At 36.9% G+C, this 15,568-nt stretch overlaps 1 protein-coding gene across 16 annotated transcripts in view; it reads left to right on the top strand.

Moving 5' to 3' along the window:
- The window catches only part of USP33 (ubiquitin specific peptidase 33), a 63,866-nt gene that overhangs the window by 26,791 nt on the left and 21,507 nt on the right, over nt 1–15,568 (top strand). For 7 of the 16 annotated variants that reach the window (NM_001377437.1, NM_001377436.1, NM_001377431.1 and 4 more), the window contains 10 exons: nt 2,331–2,444; nt 3,124–3,202; nt 4,350–4,767; nt 7,300–7,440; nt 9,619–9,731; nt 10,866–11,038; nt 11,161–11,231; nt 11,857–11,890; nt 14,421–14,466; nt 15,015–15,195. In NM_001377437.1, coding sequence (NP_001364366.1) covers nt 2,331–2,444; nt 3,124–3,202; nt 4,350–4,767; nt 7,300–7,440; nt 9,619–9,731; nt 10,866–11,038; nt 11,161–11,231; nt 11,857–11,890; nt 14,421–14,466; nt 15,015–15,195 — 1,370 coding nt within the window. Of the gene's footprint in view, nt 1–861; nt 914–2,330; nt 2,445–3,123; nt 3,203–4,349; nt 4,768–7,299; nt 7,441–9,618; nt 9,732–10,865; nt 11,039–11,136; nt 11,232–11,856; nt 11,891–12,475; nt 12,751–14,420; nt 14,467–15,014; nt 15,196–15,568 lie in introns of those variants that run through there. The other 9 variants (NM_001377435.1, NM_001377434.1, NM_201624.3 and 6 more) reach the window with 3 other exon arrangements.

The raw sequence follows: 15,568 nt of genomic DNA, 5'->3' as shown, positions 1-15,568 counted from the left end.
CAGCACTTTGGGAGGCTGAGGCGGGTGGATCATGAGGTCAGGAGTTCGAGACCAGCCTGGCCAACATAGTGAAACCCTGTCTCTACTAAAAATACAAAAAATTAGCCGGGTGTGGTGGTGTGTGCCTGTAATCCCAGCTACTCGAGAGGCTGAGGCAGGAGAATTGTGTAAACCCTGGAGGTGGAGGTTGCAATGAGCCTAGGTCATGCCATTGCACTCTAGCCCAGGTGACAGTGTGAGACTCCGTCAAAAAAAAAAAAAAAAAAAAAAAAGAAGAGACATTTACTCTGAAACTTGAGGAATGAGTATCGGTTGGTTGTTTGAAAGGATGGGGAGAGCATTCCTAGCAGAATGCTCCTTGTAAGCAGCCTTGGGATGGGAAAGAGCTTGACACATTTGAGGAACTGGAAGAAAATCTGTGTGACGGGGTACAGTAATCATAGGGCTGAATGACATGGGTCTAGGTTATGTAGACCACATTAAAGATGTAGGTCTTTATTCTCATAGTAGTACGATACCATTGAAGTGTTTGTGTAGTAGGGTAGCTAATAATCTCTCTTATATTTTTAAAATATTACTGTGGTTGCTATGTGGACAGTGAATTGGAGGGGGAAGAGAGTGGAATTTGAAAGACCAGCTAGGAGACTATGATAATGATTTAGGCAAGAAGTAGTGGTAGTTTACATCATCTAGGGTGGTAGGAAAAGAGTGAAGGAATTGGAGATAAACACTTTTAGGAGGATGATTGATTGATAGGATGTGGGTAGAGTAACTAGAGAAAGGGAGAGGAGATTCAAAGTTTAACAGTACAAACCTGTGATAAGAGAACTGTAGGTTGATACTATTGTTATTTTTATACAGATAAGAAAACCAGACACAGAAGTTTAAATAACTTTGCCGATATAACCAGCTAGTAAGTACTAGCAGAATTCTGGTTTTTTTTTTTTTTTTTAAGTTAGAGACAGGGTCTTACTCTGTCACCCAGGCTGGAGTGTAGTGGAGCGATCATGGCTCACTGAAGCCTTGAACTCCTGGGTTCAAGGGTTCTTCCTGCCTCAGCCTGCCAAGTAGCTACGACCACAGGTGCATGCCAGTGCTCCCAGATAATGTTTTAAAATTTTTGTAGAGATGGGTTTTCGCTATGTTGCCCAGGCTGGTCTTGAACTCCTGTCCTTGAGTCATGTCCTGCCTTGGCCTCCCAAAGTATTGGAATTACAGGCATGACCAACCATGCCTGGCAGGGACAAAATTCTGAGTCTGAGATTTTTACGTGTATGTTTGTTTTTGTAGATGTTTTGTTTATTACTGCACAATACTGCTTCCACCGATTTACTTTGTAATTCCTCTGATTTCATTGAAAAAGATGTGGCTGATACGATTACACTATTGGTGGCTGGGTGTGGTGGCTCATGCCTGTAGCACTTTGGGAGGCTAAGGTGGGAGGATTGCTTGAGGAGCCTAGGAGTTCTGGAACCAGCATGGGCAACATAACAAGACCCTGTCTCTACCAAAAAAAAAAAAAAGATTACACTTGGCAAAGAGATGACTTAGTAGTTATCTAACTGCCTTCATAGGAGGTTTGGTTTATGTAGGTCAGGATTTGGTCCTTTGCCTAATCAGTTTCCTATAAATAGATTTATGGAGATTCCCTCAAGCTAATCAAACTCACGACAGACAGACTATACTTCCTTATAAATTGCTAACTTGAGCCACCAACAAATATTAATACCAAATGATGGAATGTAGAAGGCTGGAGGAAGTGCAGGTTCACTTGAAAGTTAAATTTTTATCCTGTTTAGTTTGGGCATTTCATATAAATCTGAAATTTAGATGACATGGTTGACTTTATATAAATTTGACCATCATTGGAATATGGTTGAAAATTTTAGATCGCCCAGGGGAAAAAAGTATATAGGGAAATGTCATAGGATCAAGTCCCGAGGAATCCTTACGTTTACATGTCTGAGGCCAAAAAGAGCAATAGAGAGGGAAAAGGAGTTTCAAGAGCTAAAGAGGAAAAGTAGGAAAATGCATTACAATAGTCCTGAGAATGTTTGTTCAAGAGTGAGGGCATAGTTGTCTGTGGCAAATGTTACTGAGTGGGGACTGAAAAGTGTATCTGGCAGCATGGAGGACTCTTGATATGCTGGGGCCAAATCTGATTTGAATGGATTGAGCTCTTTATGAAGGAATGAAAGTGAAGCTGTAAGAGGGATCAAAGAAAGAAATAACGGCTAAAGGAATGTATGTGTTGTCAGTTAATTGAATGACTAGAAATAATCAGTATTAGCTTTGACTCCACTCTAACATTTTTCTCTTTTTAAAATTAGCCCACCTTTGACACAGTTTTTTCTTGATTGTGGAGGACTAGCTCGAACAGATAAGAAACCTGCCATTTGTAAAAGTTATCTCAAACTAATGACAGAGCTGTGGCATAAAAGCAGGTATGTAACTTAATATACTCTTCTTCTTTATTAAACTTTTAAATGAATATTATAAATATTTAAAGGTTGCAGGTCCATTTATGGAGCCGGAAAAAAGTAGAAGAGAGATAGATTAGAGACAGCTTTGTTTCAGGCATGTTACATTTGAAGCTGAATGTAAGGTGTCATAGAAGTTTAGAAGCAGATGAAGGTGTCATAGAAGTCTACAAGTATTTGGATATAGTATATAGTGTTGGAATGTTAAAGCTGCTATTACTGGAACTTTAGAGTTTTGCATTCAGGAGCAGCCATTCTCACAATGATAAAATCAGACCCTAAATACTATATGAATATTTTCCTGCTTATGTTTATTTGTTCTAAAGTTTAGCATTAGGATCATAGTTTGCTGTAATATGTTAATAATTTTGTTTTAGAACTATTCAGGAAACTTGCATTTTTGAAAAGTCATGGGGTGAAGCATAATCATTTAATTGAGGGAGGATAGCAGTAAAATATCACTTAAAATATCAAGGATAAGGTGTTCTGATGTGCCTGTGAAACATAATATTAGGCAGTTTTGAATGATTTTTTTGAAACATACTTTTCAATTTATTTAACACTTTGAATTATTGGTAGTTAATTTTTAAAATGAAAATTAAAAATAACAAAAATTGCTCTTTAAAAATGTTTTCTTGCTCAGGCCAGGATCTGTTGTGCCTACTACTCTGTTTCAAGGAATTAAAACTGTAAATCCAACATTTCGGGGGTATTCTCAGCAGGTTAGTTTATTGCTTTTCATTTGTAATTTTAATCTAAATAAATTTGGAAAATGCCATTATGTTTTTTTTGGGTCTACTTATCTTTTGGGGTCATCACTCCTTGTGTCTTTCTTTTGCCAAGAATAGTAACCCTTTTTCATGTTTATTGTTTATATTTTTTCAACTTTCCTTTATCTTTATCTTTTTTTTGAGGCAGAGTCTTGCTCTATCGCCCAGGCTGGAGTGCAGTGGTGCAATCTTGGCTCACTGCAACCTCCACCTCCCGAATTCAAGCGATTCTCCTGCCTCAGCCTTCTGAGTAACTGGGATTGCAGATGTGTGCCACCACGCCCAGCTAATTTTTGTGTTTTCAGTAGAGATAGGGTTTCGTCATGTTGGCCAAGCCAGACTTGAACTCCTGACCTCAGGTAATCCACCCTCCTCGGCCTCCCACAGTGTTGGATTACAGGCATGAGGCACTGTACTCAGCCTTTTTTTTTTTTTTTTTTTTAAGAGAGATAATGTCTCATTATGTTGCCCTGGCTGGTCTTGAACTCCTGACTCAAACGATCCTCCCTCCTTGATCTCCCGAAGTGTTAGGATTACAAGCATAAGCCCCTGCATCCAGCGGAAGTTGATCTTCAGATCATCTTTAGTTTTTTAAAATTTTTATCTGGCTGGGCGTGATGGCTCATGCCTGTAATCCCAGCACTTCAGAAGGCCGAGGTAGGCGGATTGCTTAAGCCCAGGAGCTTGAGACCAGCCTGGGTAACATAGGGAGACCTCATTTCTAAAAATAATTTAGAAATATGTATCAACCAGGTGTGGTGGCACGTGCATCTGGTCCCAGCTACTTAGGAGACTGAGGTGGGAGAATTGCTTGAGCCTGGGGGATCGAGGCTACAGTGAGCTGTGGTCATGCCACAACACTCCAGCTTGGACAACAGAATGAGACCCCATCTCAAAAAAAGAAAACTTTTATTTACATAACTTTTTGGAAGTTAATGCATCTCATTTATCTAGTGCCTTATGCTCTCCAAACTGGTATTTGCTCAATATAGTGCTGTACCTTCATATATAAGTTTGTAATGACATTTTGTATATTTTCCCTTACGTTTCTATATACACATGTAATGAAGTGGTTAACATTATGTTGCTGATATATTAGGATGCTCAAGAATTCCTTCGATGTTTAATGGATTTGCTTCATGAAGAATTGAAAGAGCAAGTCATGGAAGTAGAAGAAGATCCGCAAACCATAACCACTGAGGAGACAATGGAAGAAGACAAGAGCCAGTCGGATGTAGATTTTCAGTCTTGTGAATCTTGTAGCAACAGTGATAGAGCAGAAAATGAAAATGGCTCTAGATGCTTTTCTGAAGATAATAATGAAACAACAATGTTAATTCAGGATGATGAAAACAATTCAGAAATGTCAAAGGATTGGCAAAAAGAGAAGATGTGCAATAAGATTAATAAAGTAAATTCTGAAGGCGAATTTGATAAAGATAGAGACTCTATATCTGAAACAGTCGACTTAAACAACCAGGAAACTGTCAAAGTGCAAATACACAGCAGAGCTTCAGGTGACAATTTAGTAGTTTGTTCATGAAAATGATAGTATTTCATTTGTAGACATGGGTGTTTAAATAATTGTTACTTTGGGTATTTCTAATTAGAATTATAGTTTAGCAGTATTTGCATGTGAGTATTAGTCATAAAATTATAGAACCCGAGGATAAAAGGAATTTTTTGGGTCATTTAATTATATAAGAAATTAATCCTCCTTTTGAAGTAAACATTTCATCAGATGTCTTTTGTGTAGTCATGCAGTAATCTAAAAAATTGGGCTCCCCAGAATTTTCTCTTTTATTTTAAGCAAATTATGTTGCGATCCTGGAAAAAAGCAAATAACCCAAATTGCAATTTTCTAATTATATACACTAGTAGATTTAGATTGTTGTCATTGGAGTCACATCAGATGTGTTTTAGTGTAGAAGTTGAATTAACTATAGTGAGCCCTGCTGTGATAGATTATGCCATGATACTAGTCAGTGTTCCTTTGAGAAAGAGCATGTGGCCAAATGAAAGTTGAATTGCTTTGTAATTTATCTCTTCAAGAGTTAACTTATCTTGGCTTAAAATGTGGTATGTAGTTTTCCAAAGCACACAAAATTGGGCCATTAGAGGTTCAAATTATGTGATCTTAAAATAAGTGGCAGACATGTAATGTAAAAAAGTTTATTTTCTGTAATTACTGAAGAGTGAGAGTAACTAAGCAATTTATTTAGGTATTTGAATGAATCCAAAATTTCTTCTTGAAAATATTATTAACTATAGGAAGACTTGTGGTTCACTTGGGTAAAGTGCACAGATGCTTTCTAATCGGGAAGACTAGGAGTGTTAGGCTCCTTAATTATACTGATCTTGTGTAGAAGTTGTTAGTGAATAAATATGTCAGGTATCAGTATTGAAAGACTTAGCTTTGACTGCTGTCCAGGCTTTTCTTGTCAAAAGCCCAGTTAAGCCTGATTAGGGACATACTCATCTTTGATTGCTCTGTAACAGGTTTGTTCTTACACATAGTAACAAGGGGATGACCTAAATCAGGAGTCTGAGCTTTTAGGTGTTTTAAGGGCTTGATGAAAAAAATCTGGCGAAGTCTGTAAGGCACACAAACCTAAAACACTTCATCTCTGGTCCGTTAGAGGAAAAAATTGCCAACTCCCCATCTAAATCTCATTAACTTTATTCCCTTCAGAAAGTCCTAGAGTGAGTTGTTTTTTCACTCCCAATATTATGCAGTCTGATTTAGTCATGATTGAAATATTGAGAAATGCCTGTGTGAAAAATGATTTTGCATTATCTGGAAAAATTTCTGAGTACATCCCCTTTCCAGATCTCTTACGAACAATTCTCTTTTCTTCACTCAAATAGTTACTGAGCACATTCCCTTGCCCTGGAATATGTTAGGCACTAGGAATCCAAAGCAAACAATCAAGGTAGCTCTTATATTTTCTTGATTCATCTTATAATTTAATTCTAAAAAAAGATTCTTTCCTGATGAAGTGGTGTATTTTTTATTATAGTAAGATAAAATAACTTATGATTACTTTATACCTACATTTCTTGATTTTGATTATTATGTTAGTTTGGGAGAATAATCGATTTTTCTTTCACATGGTTTTAGAACTTCTAAAAACCTGTCCTGAATATCTTTTTTTTTTTTTTTCCTGAAACAGGGTCTCATTCTGTCACCCAGGCTGGAGTGCAGTGGCATGATCACATCTCACCACAGCCTCAACCTCCTGGGCTCAAGTGATCCTCCCACCTCAGCCTCTTGAGTAGCCAGCACTACAGGTGTACACCACCATGCCCAGCTAATTTTTAGATTTTTTTGTAGAGATGGGGGTCTCATGATGTTGCGCAGTTGGTCTTGAACTCCTGGGCTCAAGCAGTCTTCCCACCTTGGCCTCCCAGTGTTGGGATTGTAGGCGTTAGCCACCCAGCCTAGCCTCTTTTTTTTTTTTTAATGCTATATTTGGACAAACAAGATCCTCTTTGGCTTTGTATTTCCACTGCTCACTTCCTAAACTGCCTGTAATAGTCGTGTGTTATAAACATTAGTTGGGATTGGGCACGGTGGTTCATGCCTATAATCCCAACACTTTGGGAGGCCAAAGTGGGTGGATCACTTGAGGCCAGGACTTTGAGACCAGCCTGGCCAAAATGGTGAAACCCCATCTCTACTAAAAATACAAAAATGAGGTGGGCCTGGTGGCACATGCCTGTAATCTCAGCTACTTGGGAGGCTGAGGCAGAAGAATCGCTTGAATCCAGGATGCGGAGGTTGCAGTGAGCTGAGATCGCACCTCTGCACTGCAGCCTGGGGGACAGAGGGAGACTCTGTCTCAAAAAAACAAGTAAACAAAAATTAGTTGGATTTCTGGGTAGAAGATTACTGTTATTTTGCTTAGTAAGCACTTTGTTAAGTATTTAACTTGACATTTGTTAATATGATTGTGTTCAAAATATCAAATTAAGAAACCTTTAACATTATTGGACAGTTAGAATAATTTTACTATTTAAGGTAATAATGCAAATTTTAAATCTTACAGAATATATCACTGATGTCCATTCGAATGACCTGTCTACACCACAGATCCTTCCATCAAATGAAGGTGTTAATCCACGTTTATCGGCAAGCCCTCCTAAATCAGGCAATTTGTGGCCAGGATTGGCACCACCACACAAAAAAGGTAAAACGTTTCTCTTATTCAGTCTCTTTTGCTTTGGGTCTTAGTTTAAAATGATGGTTTTGGTACTTGATAATTTAAAGTGTTAATTATGAAATATGATTTGATCTTTTAAAATTGATAGCATAATTTTACATAGACATGATTAAAAATTTTGTGTGTTGGTACTCTGCTTTTAAAATTTTACATACAGTTGAATTCACTTTTTCTTGTATAGAGCTTTATGAATTTTAACACTTGCAGCATAGATTCTTGTTACCACCACCACAAACAGAATACAGAACAGCTCTAACACCCCAAAGAATTCCTGCATAGTACTACTTTGTAATCAGATCATTTCTCTATTCCTATGTTCTGGCACCCTTGATCCTCTTTTCTTATTGTTTTGCCTTTTCCTAGAATGTCATATAAATGAAATCATATAGTATGTAGTCTTTTGATTTTTTTAAATCTTTTCATATGTAGTCTTTTGAAACAGGTTTGCCTCTCAGGATAATGCATTTGAAATTCAGATATGTTACTGCGTGTCTGAATAGTTTGTTCCTTTTACTACCAAGTAATGTTTCTTTTTTTTTGTTTTGTTTTGAGATGGAGTCTCACTGTCGCCCAGGCTGGAGTACAGTGGTGCAATCTTGGCCCACTGCAACCTCTGCCTGCCAGGTTCAAGCAGTTCTCCTGCCTCAGCCTCCCGAGTAGCTGGGACTACAGGTGCACGCCACCATGCCTGGCTAATTTTTTGTATTTTTAGTAGAGATGGGCCATGCTGGTCTCGAACTCCTGACCTTGTGATCTCCCCACCTCTGCCTCCCAAAGTGTTAGAATTACAGGCATGAGCCACCATGCCCGGCCTAATATCTCATTTTTTATGGGTATACCACTGTTTATTTACCTACTGGTGGACTTTTGAATTGTTTCCAATTTTTGGCAATTATGAATAATGTTGCTCTAAAATTTATGTATAGGTTTTTGTAAGAACATTTTTTCATTTGTCTAGGACAAATACCTAGAAGTGGGGTTACTGGGTTTTATGTTTGTTTAATGCTTATAGTTGTATTAAACTGCCAGACTTTTTACCAGAGTGTCTACCATTTAGTATTCCTTCCAGGTATATATGGGAGTTCCAGTATTATGTTTTCTTAGAAGAAAACATAGGAGAAAGTCTTCATGGCCTTGGGTTAGACAAAGAGTTCTTAAAGACATTAAAAGCATGATCCATTAAAGAAAAAAATTAAAGATTTTTGTTGACAAAGGACATTCAGAGAATGGAAAGATAAGGTTGGATGTATTTATAAATCATATAGCTAGCAAAGGACATGTATCCAGAAATATATAAAGAACTCTTAAAAACTTTAAATAATAGAATCTTTTCTTCAAATAAAGCCTTACCTGGAGACAAAAACAAATAAGTGAAAACAGAATTGCTCTCAAGTCAGGATAGGGAGACCGAACCCCTTCTATTTCATCTTTAGCTTGATGATGACTTTCATCATCTTTCCCTCACTTTCTAACCTCTTCCCCTCTTCTTTTGACTTGTAAAACATTTAAGTAAACATCCCAGTGATGAAGCATTTGTGGTTTTGTGCTAATTTAGAATTTTGTTCATTTTCTCATATGTACATTTATGGTGGCCAAGGATCATTTATACTTTAAAAAAAAAAACAGGCTGGGTGCGGTGGCTCACGCCTGTAATCTCAGTACTTTGGGAGGCTGAAGTGGGTGGATCATGAGGTCAGGAGATCGAGACTATCCTGGCTAACATGGTGAAACCCTGTCTCTACTAAAAATACAAAAAAATAGCTGGGCGTGGTGGTGGGCGCCTGTAGTCCCAGCTACTTGGGAGGCTAAGGTAGGAGAATGGCATGAACCCGGGAGGCAGAACTTGGCAGTGAGCCGAGATCGCACCACTGCACTCCAGTGTGGGCAACAGTGCGAGACTCCACCTCAAAACAAAAAAACAAAAAAAAACAACAAATATCTTAAGCCTTGTCTGCTTAGTTTCTTTTATTTTTTTAATACTTATGCTCTTTTGAAGAGTATTTTGAAAATTTTCAACACAGTAATTTTTACAGTTTAAGGATTCTAGAGATCATATACAAGTAAGATTGACAAGACAAAAAAAGATTCCAGAGAAAAATGTTAAAGGAGCTGCTTTGATTTTTTTTTAATGTTTTTCAATCCTAGCTCAGTCTGCATCTCCAAAGAGAAAAAAACAGCACAAGAAATACAGAAGTGTTATTTCAGACATATTTGATGGAACAATCATTAGTTCAGTGCAGTGTCTGACTTGTGACAGGGTGAGTATGAGGGTATTAGAATACACAGAAAATTCGTGTCAAATGATTTTTAAAAATGTGACAAGATGATGTGAAAAGTTTAATTCCTTCTCTTTGCTATTGATGAGCATACATGCATTTATTGTGTTTACATCAACACAAATTTGATTCTAGGTGTAGAATTTTTTTTGGAAGTAGCAGCATCCTGTTTAAAGGATGGTGACCCATCATTGGACAGGCACATATTATCCTTCGTCATCTATTTTGGTTACATATAAAGGTGAGAAGTTGCTCAGCAACAAGAATTGGTAACACCTGCATATTCTCCCAGGCTGATGAAATTTGTATACTGGGAATCTGTTGATATTCACAGGTACAAAGCTGTGAATGTATCTCTTACATTTGGTCATATATGGTTTGTAAATATTTTTCCATGTTTAGGATGGGACTCAGATACTAAAGGTAGTATCAAATTCATAGACAATAACAAAGCATACATTAAAATCATCATGAATTTTTTAATAACACTTCTTCAAAGTTTCTTTGAGCTTTTCTTAAGTACAGTTTTACTTTAGTGCAATGATGAATATGAAATAACATCTCAAAAACAAAAAGAAGATTTCAATTATTGTGTTAGAATCTCAAGTCAAATCTAAGAACTTTCAATCGGGTCGTTTTAATGTAGGTTATTTTGGTACTAAATATTTAAGTGGAATTATCAGGCATGTTTTTAGCTATTTAAAATTAGATGCCAGATTTTGTCTCACCCTTTTAAAAAAATATTTTAAAACTACCATCAAAGGTCAATTTTCAAAAATAAATACAATAGTGCTTAAGAGTTTGGACCTCAAGATGCAGTGGCTGGATTTGGGGTGTTTAATGCTGCAGTGTCTGTGATTGTAATGGGGATGCTAATACTACTGCACAGGACTTACGTGAAGATACCTGGTACAGAGCAAGTGTGTTTTGTTTTTTGTTTTTGTTTTTTTTTTTGCTATTATGACTATGAAAGCAGTTCAATTTGCGTGTTTTTTTTTGTTTTTTGTTTTTTTTGCTTATTTAAACATGCTTTGATCTTTAGAGTCTAAAATCTAACCTTGGAAATGTTTTACTGCATTATGTTCATCCCATTTTTAAAACACAAAACAATTTTAGGTGTCTGTAACCCTCGAGACCTTTCAAGATCTGTCCTTGCCAATTCCTGGCAAGGAAGACCTTGCTAAGCTGCATTCATCAAGTCATCCAACTTCTATAGTCAAAGCAGGATCATGTGGCGAAGCATATGCTCCACAAGGGTGGATAGCTTTTTTCATGGAATATGTGAAGAGGTATGTATTTATTTTCTTTGTATTACATGATTGTTAAACCTGCTGTTTCTGCTGTACTGGCAGAACACTTCCTTTTTTTTCTATCAATGATGTTTCAGGTTTGTTGTCTCATGTGTCCCTAGCTGGTTTTGGGGTCCAGTAGTAACCTTGCAAGATTGTCTTGCTGCCTTCTTTGCCAGAGATGAACTAAAAGGTAAGAAATATAATATCTATGGCTAAATTTTTGTAGGTAAATCTAAAATACTAGTGGGACTAAATAATAAAGTGTATTCATAAAAGCTCAGTTTTAAGACAGCTTAATAGTACATTCACATATTGGCATTCGGTTAGTGTCTACCTTGATAATATAAATATAACAAGAAAAATCACATCCTGAAGGAATTCATGTGAATTCCTGTAGTATAAGACAAATGATAAGTGAAATGTTTTAAAGCTGTTCTGAGATCCATAGAAGGGCAAACTCAACCAAAATAATGGACTTATTTGTGTGTCTGTAATTGTGAACTACTCCATATCATTTAAGGTCATTCACTATTTTTGTGTGTCTAGCACCTTGCTTGGACATATGACAGGCAGTCAGTAAGTTTTGTTCAATGAATAAATGGAAAAGATATTATTTGAGGTAGGTCTTCAATGTTGGCAGGAGTTAAGGGAGGGGAAGGTAAACAGTAACCTGATTCATGAGCATAGATTAAAAAAATGGAACCTTGTTTTTCTGTGCTGGGAGGTCAGCATGGGGCAAAATCAAATAATTACAGGACCATAATAAGCAATTTGCTGTTAATTTGAAACCAATGCCAGATCTGTTTTATTTGCAGGTGACAATATGTACAGTTGTGAAAAATGCAAAAAGTAAGTGACATTGACAGTGCTTTTAATTGCATGTTGTGTATTTTTCTTGGTTTTTAGAATTGGGTATGTGGAGTTAAATTTGCCACTGTATTTAGAAAAATGTAGGCCAGAAAGGTTTATCCTAGTAATAATAGAGATTAGCTGTTTTGTGAAACAAATGTGAGGTAAAAATTTGACAAATTTAATAGGCTTATTAAGATGTGAGAGAGTATATTTTGAGGGATGAAATCTGTATGTGATTTTGCATAAAACGTTTTCCTAAATAAGGCAATATTTTCTTCTGAATTACCATTTTAACAGGCTAGATTCAGGAAGTGAAAGGTACAAAGTTTCATATCCACATAAAATTCCTAAAGGTTATACCGACTTCGATGTTATCTGCTGTTAACAATGGCATACGAGAAAGACAGCTAAAGTCTGATTTTGTTTACATCTACTACCAGCTGCCTTTTTCTGTCTTGTAATCAATTTAGACTTTTAATGCTTCTTAGTGGTAAGTCAGAAAAAAGTGTTGGAAGACTTGGTGAAAAGCAACTATTTGTGAGGCAAAGTGAACTGGAAATTTCTTCTCAATCTCTGTAATAGGAATGCAACGGCTTGCTAATAAGATCTGGGATAATACAGACTTCTAGTTCTTGGCAGTAACCTAAAGGAAACATTGATCTGCAACTGATCATGACATGACAGAAAGGAATGGTATACTATTTGGTTGATAAAGATGAAAAAGCTGACTTCTACTTTTGGAGAAAGTATCACTTTGTTCTTGAAGCCCTAGCTGACTGCTGAAAAGGAAGTTGGCTTGGAAGGGGATTGTTCCTTGTAAAGCAAAGCATACTAAGAAAAAGATAACAGTGAAGATGGAAAAGAACCTTGCATCTACCTCCATATTCAAAGTAGAGATCTGTCAAATGTATATTAATTTTGATTATATAATAATAACCATCCTTTATCTTTTTTTCCACATGTAAGAATAAAGGTTTTTTTTTTTTTTTTTTTTTTTTTTTTTCATTTGAGACATAGTCTCATTCTGTCGCCAAGGCTGAAGATTCAGTAGCATGATTACAGCTCTTTGCAGGCTCAGCTTCCTGGGCACAAGCGATCCTCCTGCCTCAGCCTCTCAAGTAGCTGGGACTACAGATGCATGCCACCATGCCTGGCTAATTTGTATTTTTTGTAGAAATGGGGTTTTGTCATGTTGCCCAGGCTGTTTGTGAACTCCTTGGCTTGCATGATTTGCCAACATTGGCCTCCCAAAATGCTGAGATTACAAGCGTGAGCCACTGTGTCCGGCCAAGACTTTTTTTTTTTTTTTTTTCTTGAGAGGGAGCCTTGCTCTGTCGCCCAGGCTGGAGTGCAGTGGTGTGATCTCGGCTCACTGCAACCTCTGCCTTCTGGGTTCAAGCAATTTTCCCTGCCTCAGCCTCTTGAGTAGCTGGGATTACAGGTGCCCGCCACCACACCCAGCTAATTTTTGTATTTTTAGTTGAGATGGGGTTTTGCCATATTGGTCAGGCTGGTCTTAAACTCCTGACCTCAGGTGATCTGCCCACCTTGGCCTCCCAAAATGCTGGGATTATAGGCGTGAGCCACGGTGCCTGGCCAAGAGTTTGATATGTTGACTTGAACTACAAATTTTATAAAACTGAGGTTTTGCTTTATCTGGTTTTACTTAATATCTAGATGTTTTAAAGGCATAGCCACACCACAGACAGTAGCACATTTGTTAAAACAAAACAATTTTCATCAAAGAGTTATACAGCTCTCTAAATTTTTGATTACCGATATCTTGGTTTAAATTACTATTGTTATTTTTTGAGATGGAGTCTTGCTCTGTCCCCAGGCTGGAGTGCAGTGGCACGATATTGACTCACTGCAGCCTCTGCCTCCTGGGTTCAAGTGATTCCTCTGCCTCAGCCTCATGAATAGCTGGGACTACAGGCGTGCGCCACCATGCCCGGCTAATTTTTTGTATTTTAGTAGACATGGGGTTTCACCATGTTGGCCAGGATGGTCTCCATCTCCTGACCTTATGATCGGCCCGCCTTGGCCTCCCAAAGTGCTGAGATTACAGGCGTGAGCCACTGCGCCTGGCCAGTTTAAATTATTTTTTACAATAAGGGACTCCAGTGTTTTGATTAAGATATTTAATGTATACATGTAACGTAATTCAGTGGCAAGTATTTCTAGTCTGATATCTTTTGTCTCTGCATTTTCTTTCTTTCTTTCTTTTTTTTTTTTTTTTTTTGAGGCAGGGTCTCACTCTAGCCCAGGCTGGAGTACAATGGTGCGATCTTGGCTCTCTGCAAACTCCGTGTCCCGGGTTCAAGTGATTCTCCTGCCTCAGCCTCCTGAGTATCTGGGACTACAGGCATGTGCCACCATGCCTGGCTAATTTTGTATTTTTAGTAGAGACGGGATTTCACCATGTTTGCCAGGCTGGATCTCTGCATTTTCTAAAAGATTTTTGTTGCAAATTTAAATATACTAAGTTTTTTTGTAGACTAATTGATTTTCTCTTTTCTCCCCTTAGGTTGAGAAATGGAGTGAAGTTTTGTAAAGTACAAAACTTTCCTGAGGTATGGGCATTATTTTAATTCAACTTATATTGTGTGGTAGGAACATAAAGTATTAATGTAACAAAATGTAGTAATAAATTCTCTTTGCTTGGTTGAAGAATTGAATGATTGCTATGCATGCCTTTTTAAGATTATTCAGTTTTAAAATATTGAGTTAAATACCGTAAGTGCCCTTTAACAATGTGCTGTGTTGAACAAAGTTTAATCATACTTGCAGGATCTTGCCAGGTCTAAAGTGTAAAATTAGAAAAACAAATAGCAGTGAACTTAGAAAGTACCATGTTTCACCATTTCCATATTTTTAACATCTCTGGAAGCAGGTTATAATTGCAGATCAATACTTAACCTTGACACTTCAGTATATATTGAATAGACTGCTTTATCTAGCATTTAAAACGAAATAAAAATCTAAATAACTTCATAATTGTAATTTGATTGAACACCTCAGTTTCTTGCTTGTTGAATAAAAATGTTACTAAGTTTTACCTGTTATAATGCTTTTTGTTTTCTGTATTGACAAATTAGTTTTGAATTTTATTCTTTTTTAGATTTTGTGCATCCACCTTAAAAGATTCAGACATGAACTAATGTTTTCCACCAAAATCAGTACCCATGTTTCATTTCCGCTAGAAGGCTTGGATCTTCAGCCATTTCTTGCTAAGGATAGTCCAGCTCAAATTGTGACATATGATCTTCTGTCAGTCATTTGCCATCATGGAACTGCAAGTAGTAAGTATATAGGTTTAACAGTTGTTCCTAGATTTAAAAAAAAATTAAAATAAGCCTGGGCGTGGTGGCTCATACCTGTAATACCAGCCTTTTGGGAGAATGAGGTGGGAGAATCACTTAATTAAAGCCAGGAGTTTGAGACCAGCTTGGGCAGCATAGTGAAACCCCATCTCTACAAAATAAATAAATAAACATCCTAATTAATCTTTTAAATAATATCTGAATAAAAGAAAAAATGTTAAAAACAGATGTTACTGCTAATTATTAAAAACATGTCAGATAATTTTATGCAATTAAATATTTTTACTATGATGTTTCCAATATTGAAAATTGTATACAGTTAATAAGGCATTAACATGATTTTTTTTTTTTT

This window comes from Homo sapiens, chromosome 1, assembly GCF_000001405.40.
Source record: "Homo sapiens chromosome 1, GRCh38.p14 Primary Assembly".
NCBI classification, from domain to species: Eukaryota; Metazoa; Chordata; class Mammalia; order Primates; family Hominidae; genus Homo; species Homo sapiens.
The sequence above is the reverse complement of the archived record's forward strand: the minus strand, read 5'-3'. Positions and strand labels throughout refer to the sequence as shown.